The following is a 14,698-nucleotide window of genomic DNA, read 5'->3' as shown; positions in this document are numbered from 1 at the left end:
CCAAGTATCAAACACAAATGAAATGGAAGAAACTCTGTTATTTTATTAGACCGTGAGGAAGTGAGGCAAGTTTTGGTATAGGTAAAGTTGGTATAGAAAAAGGTAACAGCCACTGAGAGGTATTGAAGTATCTATAACACATTTTATTGACTGTATTATAGTTTTCTAACTTGAAAGGTTAAAATAACAACAATTAAAAATATTAAAACTTCTGTATTAATTAAATGTATTACCAATGCCTTGGGTCATTTTATAGGGCTGACCGAGGGAGTAGTCTAGCTGAAAATGAAAGCAAAGCAGCTGTTATCCCCATCCGGGAAAGCTGAACATGCTAATGCAGTTGCTCTTGTCTCTGCTTCCTGCAGAGGGATTTGTTTAGAGGCCACACCAGCTGAGTCTGCACTGGGAGTTGCTTATGGAGAAGTGAACATTCCAGCTAATGGGCACAGAGACCGTGTAGCAATCTTCTGGCTGGGTGCGGTAGCTCACGCCTGTAATCCTAGCACTTTGGGAGGCTGAGGCGGGTGGATCACCTGAGGTCAGGAGTTCGAGACAAGCCTGGCCAACATGGGAAAACCCTGTCTCTACTAAAAAATACAAAAATTAGCTGGGTGTGGTGACACAGCCTGTAATCCCAGCTACACGGGAAGCTGAGGCTGGAGAATCACTTGAACCTGGGAGGTGGAGGTTGCAGTGAGCCGAGATGGCGCCACTGCACTCCAGCCTGAGGGACAGAGTGAGACTCCGTCTCAAAAAAAAGAAAGAAATCTTCCTTGTTGACAAATCTCAAATTTCCTTTTCTTATGCATGCAGAGGTCTTGAAACATTGAGAAGCGGTTTCTGAGGGCCTACAGGCTTATCAGCCCAACTAATGTATTCACCAAAGGCAGGCAAGAGAAATGGGTTGTAAAAGCAAATTCCATTTGTTTTCCCTCTCTGGTCCTTGGTTTGCGCTTTTTCCAGTTTGCCTGGAGAAGCCAGAATCTATTAGCCAAGTGTGATTCCTCATCTTTTGTCACCTTTTCCTGTGCTCTCCACCCTCTGGCTTTGCATATGGATTTCCAGGGCCTTCAGAGACACTGCTGAACAGAGTAAACAAGTGTTTCCCAGAACCAAGAGTCCTGGTGTCACCTGGCCTATAGAGAGTGCACATACAGTCTTTTCATTATAGTGTCTTCTGCCTGGCACTCAGTTGGGAAACCTGAGTGGCTCCTGAAGACAGGCCCGACATATCACACTGTCATCATGCTAAAGAAGTGAACCACTGCCTACCTTTTGACTTTCAGAGCTAAAGAAATCTGCCTGCATGATTAGATGTCAGCTTCACTGCCCACTTATAACCCTGAAGTTCACAAGCTCAGTTTCTTTTCAGCAAATGGGCACCTCAAATGTGAATCTTGGGCAGATTCAACTAGAATGAAGAGAGCAAGGCGCTGTGCTTATGCCGTCATTATGCCTTATTTTAAGATTTTCAAAGATGGATTATCAAGCAGGATGAAGCAGATCAACAAGTTTCCCTTTTGAGAAGTTGGAAGATTTATTTTTAGTCATTCTTTCTGTCTTGCCAAAACTGGTCCGACGCTTCCAAGGATCTGAAGTGCTGCATGGTGCTGCCCCCAACTGGTTCTTTTTGGTGCTTATATTATTACCACATCAGAAAATATATGACATTTAAATTTTTTTCGAAGCGCTTTCACATATTTTATTTTATTATTATTTTTTTGAGACAGAGTCTCACCCTGTTGCCCAGGCTGGAGTGCAGTGATATGATCTCTGCCCACCGCAACCTCTGCCTCCAAGGTTCAAGTGATTCTCGTGCCTCAGCCTCCCAAGTAGCTGGGATCACAGTCGTCTGCCACCATGCCCTGCTTATTTTTGTATCTTTAGTAGAGATGGGGTTTCACCATGTTGGCCAGACTGGTCTCGAACTCCTAGCCTCAGGGGATCCACCTGCCTTGGCCTCCCAAAGTGCTAGGAATACAGGTGTGAGCCATCTCGCCTGGCCAACTTTTACATATTTTTTTTTCAAGACAGGGTCTCACTCTGTTGCCTAGGCTGGAGTGCAGTGGCTCAATCTCACTTCACTGCAGCCTCCGCCTCCCGGGTTCAAGTGATTCTCCTGCCTCAGCCTCCCGAGTAGCTGGGATTACAGGCACCCACCACCATGCCCGGCTAATTTTTGTATTTTTAGTAGAGATGGGGTTTCACTATGTTGGCCAGGCTAGTCTTGAACTCCTGACCTTAGGTGATCTGCCCGCCTTGGCCTCCCAAAGTGCTGAGATTACAGGCGTGAGCCACGGCGCCTGGCCAACTTTCACATATTTTATTAGATTCTCATAACAACACTGCAAATTAGGTGAATCAGGGATTATCATACCTACTTATAGTTGAGAAAAGTGAAAGATGGATAGCCTTATTAGTTGATTTGTCCAAGTTAAATGGCTATTAGGAGGCTGAATTGGGCTAGAATTCAGATATTTCTCCTCTTATCCCATTAAGTTCCCTAGTCCTTTGTAAATGCAATGGTACCCAAAAATATGTATTAAGATATAAATTTTAGGCTTAGAGGAATTTCCCTCTTTTTCTCCCTTGGGAGGAGGAGGGAGATAATACATCATATAAGGTTTGAGTAAATTCATTTTTGAGCTCCTGTGCTGCATGAGGCTCTCTTACTCAGATGCTGTGGTCTCTAAGTCTCCAGTGCAACGTAGTGGTAAAGAGTATGGACTCTGGAGCCAGACTGCAGAGTCTGCCAGTCTCTGCCACTTAATAACTGGATAACTTTAAGCAAGTTGCTTAATTTCTAAATGCCTTCTCTAAAATGAGTAATAGTATGTAGTCATTTTGTAGTCCATAGCACGATGATTGGATTTTCATGTGCATGTGTGAGGTGTACTACCCTCAAACCTTATTAATGTCTGCACGTTGTCTGACATGAAAAAAAAAAGGAAAAAAAGTACCAGTGTACCTACCTTATAGGGTTATTGTGCAGATTAAATGAGATAATATATGCAAAACTCTCAGAACAGTGCCTGAAACAATTTAGATACTATATAAATAACAGCTGCTATTATTATTTATAAATACATATACTTACTCACTTTTTTTTGAGACTGGGTCTCTCTCTGTTGCCTAGGCTGGAATCTAGTGGCACAATCATGGCTCACTACAGCCTTGACCTCCTGAGGTTCAAGTGATCATCCCAACCTCAACCTGTGAGTAGCTGTGACTATAGGCACACACCACCACACCCAGCTAATTTTTTTTTTTTTTTGAGATGGAGTCTCGCTCTGTTGCCCAGGCTGGAGTGCAGTGGTACAGTCTCGGCTCACTGCAAGCTCCGCCTCCTGGGTTCATGCCATTCTCCTGCCTCAACTTCCCGAGTAGCTGGGACTACAGGCGCCTGCAACCACGCCCGGCTAATTTTTTGTATTTTTAGTAGAGACGGGGATTCAGCATGTTAGCTAGGACGGTCTCGATCTCCTGACCTCGTGATCTGCCCACCTTGGCCTCCCAAAGTGCTGGGATTACAGGTGTGAGCCATTGTGCCCAGGCTTTTTTTTTTTTTTTTTTTTTTTTTAGACGGAGTTTCACTCCGTCACTTGCCCAGGCTGGAGTACAATGGTGCAATCTCGGCTTACTGCAACCTCCATCTCCCGTGTTCAAGCGATTCTCCTGCCTCATCCTCTCGAGTACTGGGATTACACGCATGCGCCACCATGCCTGGCTAATTTTGTATTTTTAGTAGAGACAGGGTTTCTCCATGTTGGTCAGGCTGGTCTCGAACTCCCGACCTCAGGTAATCCACCTGCCTTGGCCTCCCAAAGTGCTGGGATTACAGGTGTTAGCTACTATGATCCCACCCCTGGGAGCTACCGTGCCTGGCCAATTTTTGTATTTTTTGTAGGGACGGGATTTTGCCACTTTCCCCAGGCTGGTCTCAAACTCCTGACCTCAAGTGATCCTCCCACCTTGGCCTCCTACCGTGCCCAGCCTTATTCACTTTTTTTTCTTTTTTTTTTTTTTTACTAAAAAAGCAAAGCTGCCCTTCATGGGTATTTAGGAATGATGAACAGCAAGACTATCTTCAAATAGTTTCTCCATAACCTTATCTGCTACTCTTTCCTCTGTTCACTTCAGTCTTACTCGTCTTAACCACTTTACTGAAACTGCTCTGTCCAAGGTTGCCAATGATTTCCTGGTTGCAAATTCAGTGGATACCTTTCAAGCTCGTCTTCCTCATTCATGGCTTTTGATACTGTCAGTCATTTCCTTTGTAGAATGCTTTCCTTCTGACATGTAGAATGTCATTGTCCTTCTGAACATACATACATACATACATACATTTATTTATTTATTTATTTATTTATTTATTTATTTATTTATTTATGAGATGGAGTTTAGCTCTTGTTGCCCAGGCTGGAGTGCAATGGCACGATCTCAGCTCACTACTACCTCTGCCTCCCGGGTTCAAGTGATTCTCCTGCCTTAGCCTCTTGAGTAGCTGGGATTACAGACGCCTGCTACCATGCTCAGCTAATTTTTTTGTATTTTTAACAGAGACAGAGTTTCACCATCTTGGCCAGGCTGGTCTTGAACTCCTGATGTCAGGTGATCCACCCGCCTCGGCCTCCCAAAGTGCTAGGATTACAGGCATGAGCCATTGCGCCCGGCCGTCCTTCTGAACATTTAGAATGTTCTCCTATTGACATTCTTGCCTGTTCCTTGGGATTCTGTTGATTTCCCATCTTACATGTTAAACCCTGGGCATGCATGACCTTGGAATGCATGACTGCTTCAGCTCAATGTTTTTGCCTCCTAAATATTGTCTTTCACTTAGACTTTGTTCTTAAGCTTCAAACTGACTCTATTTAGATCATTTCCACCTTGGTTGTCCAATAAGCACCTGTACCTTTAATAATTTAACTTCTCCCAGCTGAACTCACTATCTTTTTTTTTTTTTTTTTTAAGACAGGGTCTCGCTCTGTCTATCACCCAGGCTGGAGTGCATTGGCATGATCTTAGCTCACTGCAGCCTCAACCTCCCAGGCTCAGGCGATCTTCCCATGTAGCTAGGACTACATGTGTGCACCATCACGTCCAGCTAATTCTGTTTATTTTTGTAGAGACTAAGTCTCTCACTATGCTGTTCAGGCCGGTCTGAACTCCTGAGCTCAAGCGATCCTCTACCTCTCAAAGTTCTAGGATTACAGGCATGAGTCACCACACCTGGCCTGAACTCACTCTCTTTTAACATTGCCTCTTCTTCTAAAAACCTACTCCTCTCCTTGCTCTCTGGGTATTTAAAAATGACATCCAGGGACCAATAGCCTATTGCTCTCATTCTCTAATCCAGGCAATTATCAAGTTTTTTTTTTTTAATTCTGCCATCTAAATACATTTTGAATCTTGCCTTGTTCCAATGCCTCCACTATTGCCATGATTCAGATGCCCTGCTCTCACCAGGATTATTGCAGTAATCTCCTATTTCCCTTTCTCTGTATTTTTCACTCTAATCCATCTATCATACCATGGCTAAAATAATATTTTCTTTAAAAAGCAAATATAACCATGTGGCTCTCCTGCTTAAAATGCTTCTTTTGTTTCCTATAGACAGGATAAAGTTCACATATCTTAGCAAAACATGTCAGCCTCACTTCCTGACTCATCTATAAATGCACTCTGGCCATATCGAAGTAAATTAAGTTCCTGAATGCATCATGCACTTAACCTGTAACTTTGCATATGCTGCTCCCTCTGTGTCTTTCGTGCTACTTTCCTGCTACTCCAGGTCATCCTTTCTGACTCCTTATTTCCTCTCTGCATTTCCTCTGACATGCCTCCACAGTTTAGCTTTATCCTTGTTGCTGCATGGTGTTGTCCTACCTGCACATAACTATATTTTAATATTTATTATATGATATTGTTTGACTATGTCCCTTAATAGATTGTGATCTCCTTAAAGGAAAGTGTCATTGTGTGCAGCACCTACCATAGTGCTTGGAGGCAGAATAAGCCCTCAGTAACTTAAAAAAAAAATACAGTCTCTCTCTTCCAGGTGTTTACTCTCTAATGGTTTCACCACTAGCCTAAATATTTCTGATAAATGGTAGCTGGGTTTTCCTTCTGTTTTGCAGTATATCAACTCCGGGAACCTGGAACAGTTGCTAGACAGTAACCTGCATTTGCCTTGGACTGTGAGGGTAAAACTGGCCTATGACATAGCAGTGGGCCTCAGCTACCTTCACTTCAAAGGCATTTTTCATCGGGACCTCACATCTAAGGTATGAAGGCTTTACTCTCACAACTCATTGAGAGATACCACCCTTCTCTTTTGCCAAGAAAGCTGTGTTAGATTTAACATTTAATCACAGAGGACATAATTCATTATATTTTATAGTTAGTCCTTAGAAAGCCTACATCTTTTCCTTCTGTTTTTGAGGCAGTGTCTCACTCTGTTGCCCAGGCTGGAGTGCTTCTGCCTCCTGGGTTCAACGACTCTCGTGCCTCAGTCTCCTGAGTAGCTGGGACTAGAAGTGTATATTACCACACTCAGCTAATTTTTAGTAGAGGCAGAATTTTGCCATATTGGCCAGGCTGGTCTTGAACTCCTGGCTGCAAACAATCCACCCGCCTTGGCCTCCCAAAGTGCTGGGATTACAGGCGTGAGTCACTGTGCCCCACCATAAGCCTATATTTTCTTATAGCAGGTTCCTTTCAGTGCTGAGTGAGCCAACATATATATATATATATATATATATATATATATATTTTTTTTTTTTTTTTTTTTTTTTTTTTTTGAGACGGTCTCACCTTGTCACTCAGGCTGGAGTACAGTGGCATGGTCTCGGCTCACTGCAGCCTCCACTCCATCGGCTCAAGCAATCCTCCTACCTCAGCCTCCCGAATAGCTGGGACCACAGGCGTACACCACCATGCCTGGCTGTATTTTGGTCTTGTTTTGTTTTTTTCCACTCTTATTGCCCAGGCTGGAGTTCAATGGAGTGATCTTGGCTCACTGCAACCTCCACCTCCTGGGTTCAAGCAATTATCCTGCCTCAGCCTCCTGAGTAGCTGGGATTACAGACGCCTGCCATCACCCCTCGCTAATTTTTTGTATTTTTAGTAGAGATGGGGTTTCACCATGTTGGCAGGCTGGTCTCAAACTCCTGACCTCAGGTGATCCACGTGCCTTGGCCTCCCAAAGTGTTGGGATTACAGGCATGAGCCACCATACCCAGCCTTTCTTTTGTATTTTTAACAGAGATGGGGTCTTGCCATGTTACCCAGACTGGTCTCAAACTTGTGAGCTCAAGCAGTCACCCACCTCAGCCTCCTAAGGTGCTGGGATTACAGGCATGCACTGTGCCCAGCCAACTCATACATCTTGAGAGCCTTCATGTTTAACTTCAATCTCCTGAATATGTGTTACAGGAGCAAATGACATGAGAAGGGTTAAGAAATTCTTGCCTTATAGGAATGACAGCAGTCAAGGCAGTATAGGGGCCTATCAGTTTTCTTTCCTGTGGCCCCAGGATGTAGTTCTTAGCTAAGAGCAGGAGTTCAGTGATTTTTAGTCACTTGAATGCAGGTTTTTAGGGCCATATGTACTGACCCATTTTCTGCCTGTGTGATTGAGTTTCTGCTGCCCTGCCAGTTCCTCTTTGGCATCAGCTGATCTCTGTAGCACTCTCTTGCTGTCCAAATTGCTGTGTGACCAGGTTAGAAAAGAGTCGCTTTCAGAGGAAGTTGGCCATGCCACAAAACAGACACCTCATAGCCAAATGGCCTAAGATACCATCATGACAAGGCTTATATAAATAGTACCGTTTGATTATTAATGGGGGAACTATAAGGCAATCTAACATATCTAATATGACTGCTGCCCAAGAACTGAATTAAAGTCTGCTAGGGAGGTGTATAAGAGTTTTGTACCTGCCTAAGAATAGCTGTCACTTCATTCCCCACCCTCAATACCTACATGTACACATATTCACATATGCATGCACATACTCCTACTCCTTCTGCCCCAGATGAAGGGGAGGGGAAGGGAGCCCATCTTAAGAAAAAGCTTGAAAGGGAACAAAAGCAGCAGTACTGAGTCAATAAAGCCTAAAGCAGTAAGTACCTGGATGCCTCACATAGAATGGTTTTGGTGTGTGGCAGAGTCATTTGTAGTCAGCTGCACTGTTCCTGAAGGAGCACAAGACTGGCAAGTAGAAACTGGGAACCAGCAGAGGCCTAGTTGTAAGGAGCCCTTTATCTACATTACTGTCTGTAAGAACTGGACAGTTAGGCAGTTGGGACCTGGAAGGTGATATCTTATCTCTTTATTAGCCATTTCTTCTCCCCCAGAATGTTTTGGAAAACCAAGACTAAGAAAAGTGCAGGCCGGGCATGGTGGCTCACACCTGTAATCCCAGCACTTTGGGAGGCCGAGGCGGGCAGATCACCTGAGGTCAGGAGTTCAAGACCAGCCTGACCAACATGGTGAAACCCTTCCTCTACTAAAATACAAAAATTAGCCGGGCATGATGGCAGGTGCCTGTAATCCCAGCTACTCGGGAGGCTGAGATGGGAGAATCGCTTGAACCCAGGAGATGGTGGCTGTGGTGAGCCGAGATCGTGCCACTGCACTCTAGCCTGGCGACTGAGCGAGACTCCGTCTTGGAAAAAAAAAAGAAAAAAAAAAAGAAAATTGCATTTGTTCCAGGCAAATGGATGGGACTGAATCAACTCAGATATCAAATCTTTGCTTCCTACTCAGAAAGCGCCATTTTTTCTAAGATAGAAGGAGTTTGTGACAAAATATGTATCAGTTACACAGATACTCCCCCCACACACACACACACACAAGTGTCTCCTATACCTGGCTCCAAGGATGAAGGAATATTAGAAAAGAGGAACTTCTGACCTAGAGGTATGTACAGTTTTGTTGGCAAATAACTAAAAAGTAGTGCACAGCATTTTATAATTGTTTAGCTACATAGACGACAAGTTTTCTGAGCAGGAAAGATCACTCTAGGCCAGGGTAGCTAGGCTTCCTCGAGGAAAGCCCCCACTCCCTAAGAGTTCATCATATTCCCTTCTGTGCCCCAAAAGCACTTTGTCCCATTGTGCTAGTGTCCAAGTGTGGTTCTGTCTGGGCTTGTTGTGCTGTATTATAAAAATAACCTTTTTGGACTATAGGATAAGACCACTACCCTTTGCTTTTCCTTATGGGGAATGGGTATTCCCAGTGTCAACTGACTTGAGACAAGAAACTAGGAACATAGGAGAAATAACTCCCTATATTTCTGGGCTGTACTTTCTTGGGTCCGGACTTTAAGGAGGTTTTGAGGATAATTCCAGGTGGTGAGAACAAAGGACGTTTGCAAACTCTAGAGGAAGGCTGGGAAGTACACTATAGGGGATCTCAAGTTGAAGACAAACAAGTGAGTCTTATGAACCAGACTGTCCAATTTGAGATACCGTCTGTGTTCATTGCCCTTTTATCATCTCTGAGAAATAAAGCTAAAGGGACAGTAGAGGGCTCGGAGGTTTCCAAATTATCTCTTCATAGTCCATCTTGGGTCTGTGTCTTATTTCTTTAAGGACAGTATCAGGCTTTCTTATATTTTAATATTATACACTCCATATCACTTGATTGTTCTGTTGTGTCTGTATCTCCCACCAGCATGAGTTTCTCAAGTGCTTCTCTTATTTACTTTTGTTTTCTTACCACCTAGCACAGAGCCTATGAGAGTATAAAGTCTTCCTGGGCCTATTTCAGGGAAGGGCGAAGGGCTTGATAGCAAAGAGGCCAAAACGCCTGCTCCAGAGCTGAGATTCTGGGTTCCAGGCCCAGTTTTGTCCCCATCTCTGAACGACTTCAGTGACCTTGGAACCTCCGTGCTCCCAGTCTGTAAAACAGATGCTGTCCTTGACTTTGCAGGAGCGATCAGTCCACACTGCTCAGACCAGAGCTAACAAGAGGGATTTAAAGTAGAGGTAACATGTTCCAAGTGGGTAAACCAGGACAGAGAGAAGAAGATGCCTTTTTCCAAATGATCCTAAGCCTGTGGTTAGAAGCAAAAAGATCCCTAGTTTCCTATCAACGTGCCTCCTGAAAGTAGTATTACCTTTATAGGACTCATGTCCGCAGCTACTGCAATAATGCTCTAAGAGTAAAATGTCTGTCAGATATAGCCATTCAGTCTAATTTTGTAATTACTTCTAAGAAACAGCCTGAAACAGACTTTTGCAGTGGCAAGGCCAAGAACTTACTTGGAAGGAAGTGGGAGGCAGTGTGGCTTTAAAAATATTCAGTTTGTGAGCACTATGAAGAAGTGCCAATAGCCACACACAGGCTTTTATCAGTAGCTCTAGAAGTAACCAGTACACACATACCCGAGCCTTGGCTCTTGGGGGCAGCTGAGAAAGTAGTTTGCTTCTGCTTAATACCATTACTGCCCAACTGATCTTCTGTGATTACTGTTGGGAATGAGTATGAATTATGAATTGCACCTTTAGTTCTTAGTTCTTTTCTGTTGTTATTGTTGACTGCATAGAAGCCACTTAGGTGATTTCACTGGAATGAAAAGCCTATTCAGTTATGGTCTTAGGCTATGCCACACAATGAGGAATAGAAAATGCCAATTTTCAGAGTGAAGAGAACATGAATTAGGAACAACGTTGAATGCTGGAGGGATGTAGAGAATGACTGTTAGTGTACCCTAAAGTTAATTTTTATAATTAAAACCATCAGCAGCTTCTGGGAACTATTTATGCTGTGCTATTAGAGGGCACAATATTGGGGAATCCAATCTCTACCTTCCATGGGCTCTACTCTAGTTGTGGAGATATTTAAGTCAGCAGGCCATTACACAAGAGCTATGGTAAAGGTATGAGATCACATGGTAGGATTGAGGGCAAGGGATGGGACACATCACACCAAAACAGATAATCCTCTAAGAGACTTGAAATATAACAGTCCCTGAGGCATTTAGGAGTCCGGCAGTTCGGTCACTGATCTCCCTGTGCTATGAAAAGAACCTCTTAACTGTTCAGTCTTTCAGTAGAATCTTAGTCTTTTCCTGCCTGATCCTAACTGGGTTTAGGGAGTCAGTTTGTTGCGGGTGAGGGGAAAGAGGTGAAGCCACATAGAAAGTGTTTTGTTGTTTTTGTTGCAGAAACAGCTTTAGAGTGAACATGAGTTAATAGACTTGGCATTTCTTCACTCAGGTGGCTTTATTCAGTGTTAATACTGACTGTGCAGCTGTTCCAGGACACCTCAGGCACTTTCAGGTGTCTGATCTGGCCCAGTTCTGAAGAATTTGTGTAGGTTTCCAGGAAATGCATCCATGGCCACCCTTTTGAGTCTCTTGTCAGCTCAGTCCTCACTATGGAGAGTGGAATGTATGATTATTGTATACGTTTGACACACGCTTTTTTTAATTTTAATTTTTGAGACAGAGTCTCACTGTCACCCAGGCTGGAGTGCAGTGGTGTGATCTTGGCTCACTGCAACCTCTGCCTCCCGGATTCAAGTGATTCTCCTGCCTCAGCCTCCTGAGTAGCTGGGATTACAGGTGCCTGCCACTGCACCTGGCTAATTTTTGTATTTTTAGTAGAGACAGGGTTTCACCATGTTGGCCAAGCTGGTCTCGAACTCCTGACCTCAGGTGATCCACGTGCCTTGGCCTTCCAAAGTGCTGGAATTACAGGCATGAGCCATCACACCCAGCTTGACACATGCTTTTAAAAGAAGCCCAGTTGCTTCAGTCATCAGACTAAACTTTCATTTAACACACTTTTGCCAAGCTCCTTCTGGGTACCTGTGCTAGGTTACAGATACAGAGGCAAATGAAATCATTCCTTGCCAGTGAAGAGGCAAACATGTAAGTCACTGTTGCAGTGTGATATAATAGGTGTGAGGAAATGAAGAATGGGAACCAGGCAGCAACAGTGCCTGGGCTGTTTTCTGAAACTGAAAAGGTCACCTCTTGCCTCAGGGAAATCTGACTGGTCCTCTCTTACTGCTTAGTGTAGGCAGGGCTACCTCACTCAAAAGTCTTCTAGGAGGGAAGAGACATAGGTGACATATCTGAGCTGCCACTGCCTCACAGGCTGGTGCCCTATAGCTGGGGCTTTGGCTAATAGGCAGGCTGGCCTAGGGCCCATCTTCTCACAGACAGTCAAAGTCAGGGAGCTGCGAGTGCTGAGCCAGCAGGACTGATTAGAGAGCCAAAGCCAGGACAAGCACAAGAACTGTCCTTCCTGGAAGCCAGAGATGAGGCATGTCTACCTGTGATCCAGGGTAGAAGTGATGAAATCACGGCTCCTTCCAGCTTGGGGAAGGGAAATAGTGTAATCATGTCAAGGCCAGAGTAAGGGATTGATTTGTACCTGACAGGAGTAAGCAGGAGGTGACTTGGCATGTCTTAGCAACTAGATACCAAGGCTGGCAAGGAAGAGGGAGGGCTGGTTTGGGTCAGATGGGGCCTTGCTGGCTCCAGAAGTGTTTCTGTGAGCCAAGGATCCCTGCTCTCTGCTATTCTGAAGGAAGCGGGTGGGGTGAGGTGCCTCTTGAGCCAGAGCAGTGTAGGGCTATTTTGAAAGCAGCTATTTGGGGAGAGCTGGTTGCCGCTTTTTGTTTATTTACAGGTCACTTGGGTTGACCTGAAGACAGCATTTTTTCAGTGAGCATGTTCTCAGCCTGTCTCATGAATTGAAAGCTGTGAGGAAGGAAGGCAAACCAGAACTTGCTCCTGAGGGGTTCATAGCTTTTCTGCTAGACTGTAAGAGGAGTGGCATAGAGGAGGAGCTAAGAGTTGAGATGAGAGGGAGAAAGATGAGGTCATGGCTAAAAAGGTAGCTTGCCTTAAAATACAAAATTTTCTTAGGTGAAAAGGATAATTGGGAGAATATTTCAAATGAAAGGGAACAATGTAAGCAAAGGCAAAGGCTTGAAGGACCTGTTCAGGTTTGGTAAGTCAAGCTTGTCTGTGACAAGTTTGGATGAGGATATGTGCATAGGGGCACCAGGAACAGGGGGACAGCGGCTAGGCCAGTTGGATAAAGCCAGATCATAGACTTTTAATGCCAGAGAAGAGGTTGGTTGTGATCTTGTGGACAGTGAAGGTTAGTGAAGGCTTAGACACTTGTCTTGTGCTTATATCAAGTTGGCAAGGTCAGGCCTGGGCTTTGGGTCTGTGTTTCTGAGGAAGGAGGAAGGGAGGCCAGGGGCCTGATAGTCTGTTGTTCTCCCCTATATTGCAAGCTCCAAGAGGACAAGGGTTTTGGTTGTTTTCATCTAGCTATTTCTAGCACTTAAAATTATGCCTAGCACTTAGAAAGCAAAGATGAGTAATTGTGTTTGGAATGTGAAGTGTATCCTAGGACAGCCACCCAAGACCCAGGACTAACTCATCTCACCTGGCTGTCTTAGAGCCCCTGACCTGACCAGTGGGGTCAGCTTGAGTGCGGTTCACCAAGGAGCAGAGGACAAGGTGCCCTGTGATAGGAAGGGGGGAATGGGTGGTAACTCTATGGCTGATCCCCGCTTCTGAGCCACATTATTTTCTCTTCCTTCCTGGGAACCCTAGAACTGCCTGATAAAGAGGGATGAGAATGGTTACTCTGCAGTGGTAGCTGACTTTGGCCTGGCTGAGAAGATCCCCGATGTCAGGTGTGTAGCCCTACTGGATGCTGGGGTCCAAGGGACAGGGGGCTGAAGCTAAGGGAAAATTCTAGCCTCCTCCCCAGAGGCCAGGACTTGGTCACAGCTCAACCTCAGCTCCCTAAATTTGTTTAGTCCTCGTCTGTACCCATCCTTGAGGTGGAGGAATGGTCAAAAGATTCCATTGCACCAGCCATTGGCAAGCTCATTTTCTGTATAATCTCACCCCACAGCATGGGGAGTGAGAAGCTGGCCGTGGTGGGTTCCCCATTCTGGATGGCACCTGAGGTTCTCCGAGATGAGCCCTATAATGAAAAGGTAAGTTTGGAGGATCTCAAGGCCTGATTCTCCTTTTTTCTTTTTCTTTTTTTTGAGATGGTCTCACTATGTTGCTCAGGCTGGAATGCAGTGGCACGATCTCGGCTTACTGCCTCCCGAGTTCAAGCTATTCTCCTGCCTCAGCTTCCCAAGTAGCTGGAATTACAGGCATGCACCACCACGCCCAGCTAATTTTTTTATTTTTAGTAGAGACAGGGTTTCACCATATTGGCCAGGCTGGTCTCAGACTCCTGACCTGAAGTGATCTGCCCACCTCGGCCTCTTGAAGTGCTGGGATTACAGGCATGAGCCATCGCGCTCGGCTGATTCTCCCTAGAATCCACTCTTAGCAGAGTGTCCAAGATGTTCCTACCAAGAGCAGTGGTGGTACCTGGCAGCTGCCCAGTGACTGACTGGGATGAAGTATGGGCAATATGGCCCAGGCCTGGGCTGTTAGATGGTGGGGTGCAGGGGAGGCAGGGGCAGGGGCAGATACCCTACCCCTCAACCCATTAAGAGGGAAACCAAAGTCCGACTACCCACCAGGCAGATGTGTTCTCTTATGGTATCATCCTCTGCGAGATCATCGCCCGCATCCAGGCCGATCCGGACTATCTTCCCCGCACAGAGGTGAGCTGCAAGCATGGGGATCATTGCCACTGATGGGGCTAGTTTGAAGCAATGGAACTGTTCTGTCCCTGGGATGGACTTGCTGGAACT

At 45.1% G+C, this 14,698-nt stretch overlaps 1 protein-coding gene and 1 pseudogene across 2 annotated transcripts in view, besides 3 other annotated features; both read left to right on the top strand.

Annotated features, from left to right (window-relative positions):
• Window positions 1-14,698, top strand: part of TESK2 (testis associated actin remodelling kinase 2) — a 147,281-nt gene that overhangs the window by 129,577 nt on the left and 3,006 nt on the right. For both annotated transcript variants that reach the window (NM_001320800.2, NM_007170.3), the window contains 4 exons: window positions 6,138-6,284; window positions 13,587-13,669; window positions 13,894-13,978; window positions 14,525-14,608. In NM_001320800.2, coding sequence (NP_001307729.1) covers window positions 6,138-6,284; window positions 13,587-13,669; window positions 13,894-13,978; window positions 14,525-14,608 — 399 coding nt within the window. The remainder of the gene's footprint in view (window positions 1-6,137; window positions 6,285-13,586; window positions 13,670-13,893; window positions 13,979-14,524; window positions 14,609-14,698) is intronic.
• Window positions 623-1,122: an enhancer, noted in NCBI's record as "H3K4me1 hESC enhancer chr1:45826137-45826636 (GRCh37/hg19 assembly coordinates)". NCBI's record gives its function as "activates a minimal SCP1, AML or CMV promoter by ChIP-STARR-seq in naive H9 embryonic stem cells {active_cell/tissue: H9 hESC(naive)}" and the evidence as "EXISTENCE:reporter gene assay evidence [ECO:0000049][PMID:30033119]".
• Window positions 1,253-1,332: an enhancer, noted in NCBI's record as "active region_968". NCBI's record gives its function as "activates an Ori minimal core promoter by ATAC-STARR-seq in GM12878 lymphoblastoid cells {active_cell/tissue: GM12878}" and the evidence as "EXISTENCE:reporter gene assay evidence [ECO:0000049][PMID:35858748]".
• Window positions 1,593-1,692: an enhancer, noted in NCBI's record as "active region_967". NCBI's record gives its function as "activates an Ori minimal core promoter by ATAC-STARR-seq in GM12878 lymphoblastoid cells {active_cell/tissue: GM12878}" and the evidence as "EXISTENCE:reporter gene assay evidence [ECO:0000049][PMID:35858748]".
• On the top strand, window positions 2,839-2,935 carry LOC124904849 (uncharacterized; annotated as a pseudogene).

The sequence above is a fragment of the Homo sapiens genome, chromosome 1 (assembly GCF_000001405.40).
Source record: "Homo sapiens chromosome 1, GRCh38.p14 Primary Assembly".
In the NCBI taxonomy this organism is placed as follows: Eukaryota; Metazoa; Chordata; class Mammalia; order Primates; family Hominidae; genus Homo; species Homo sapiens.
Note: the sequence above shows the minus strand (reverse complement) of the source record. Positions and strands in the feature narration are given on the sequence as shown.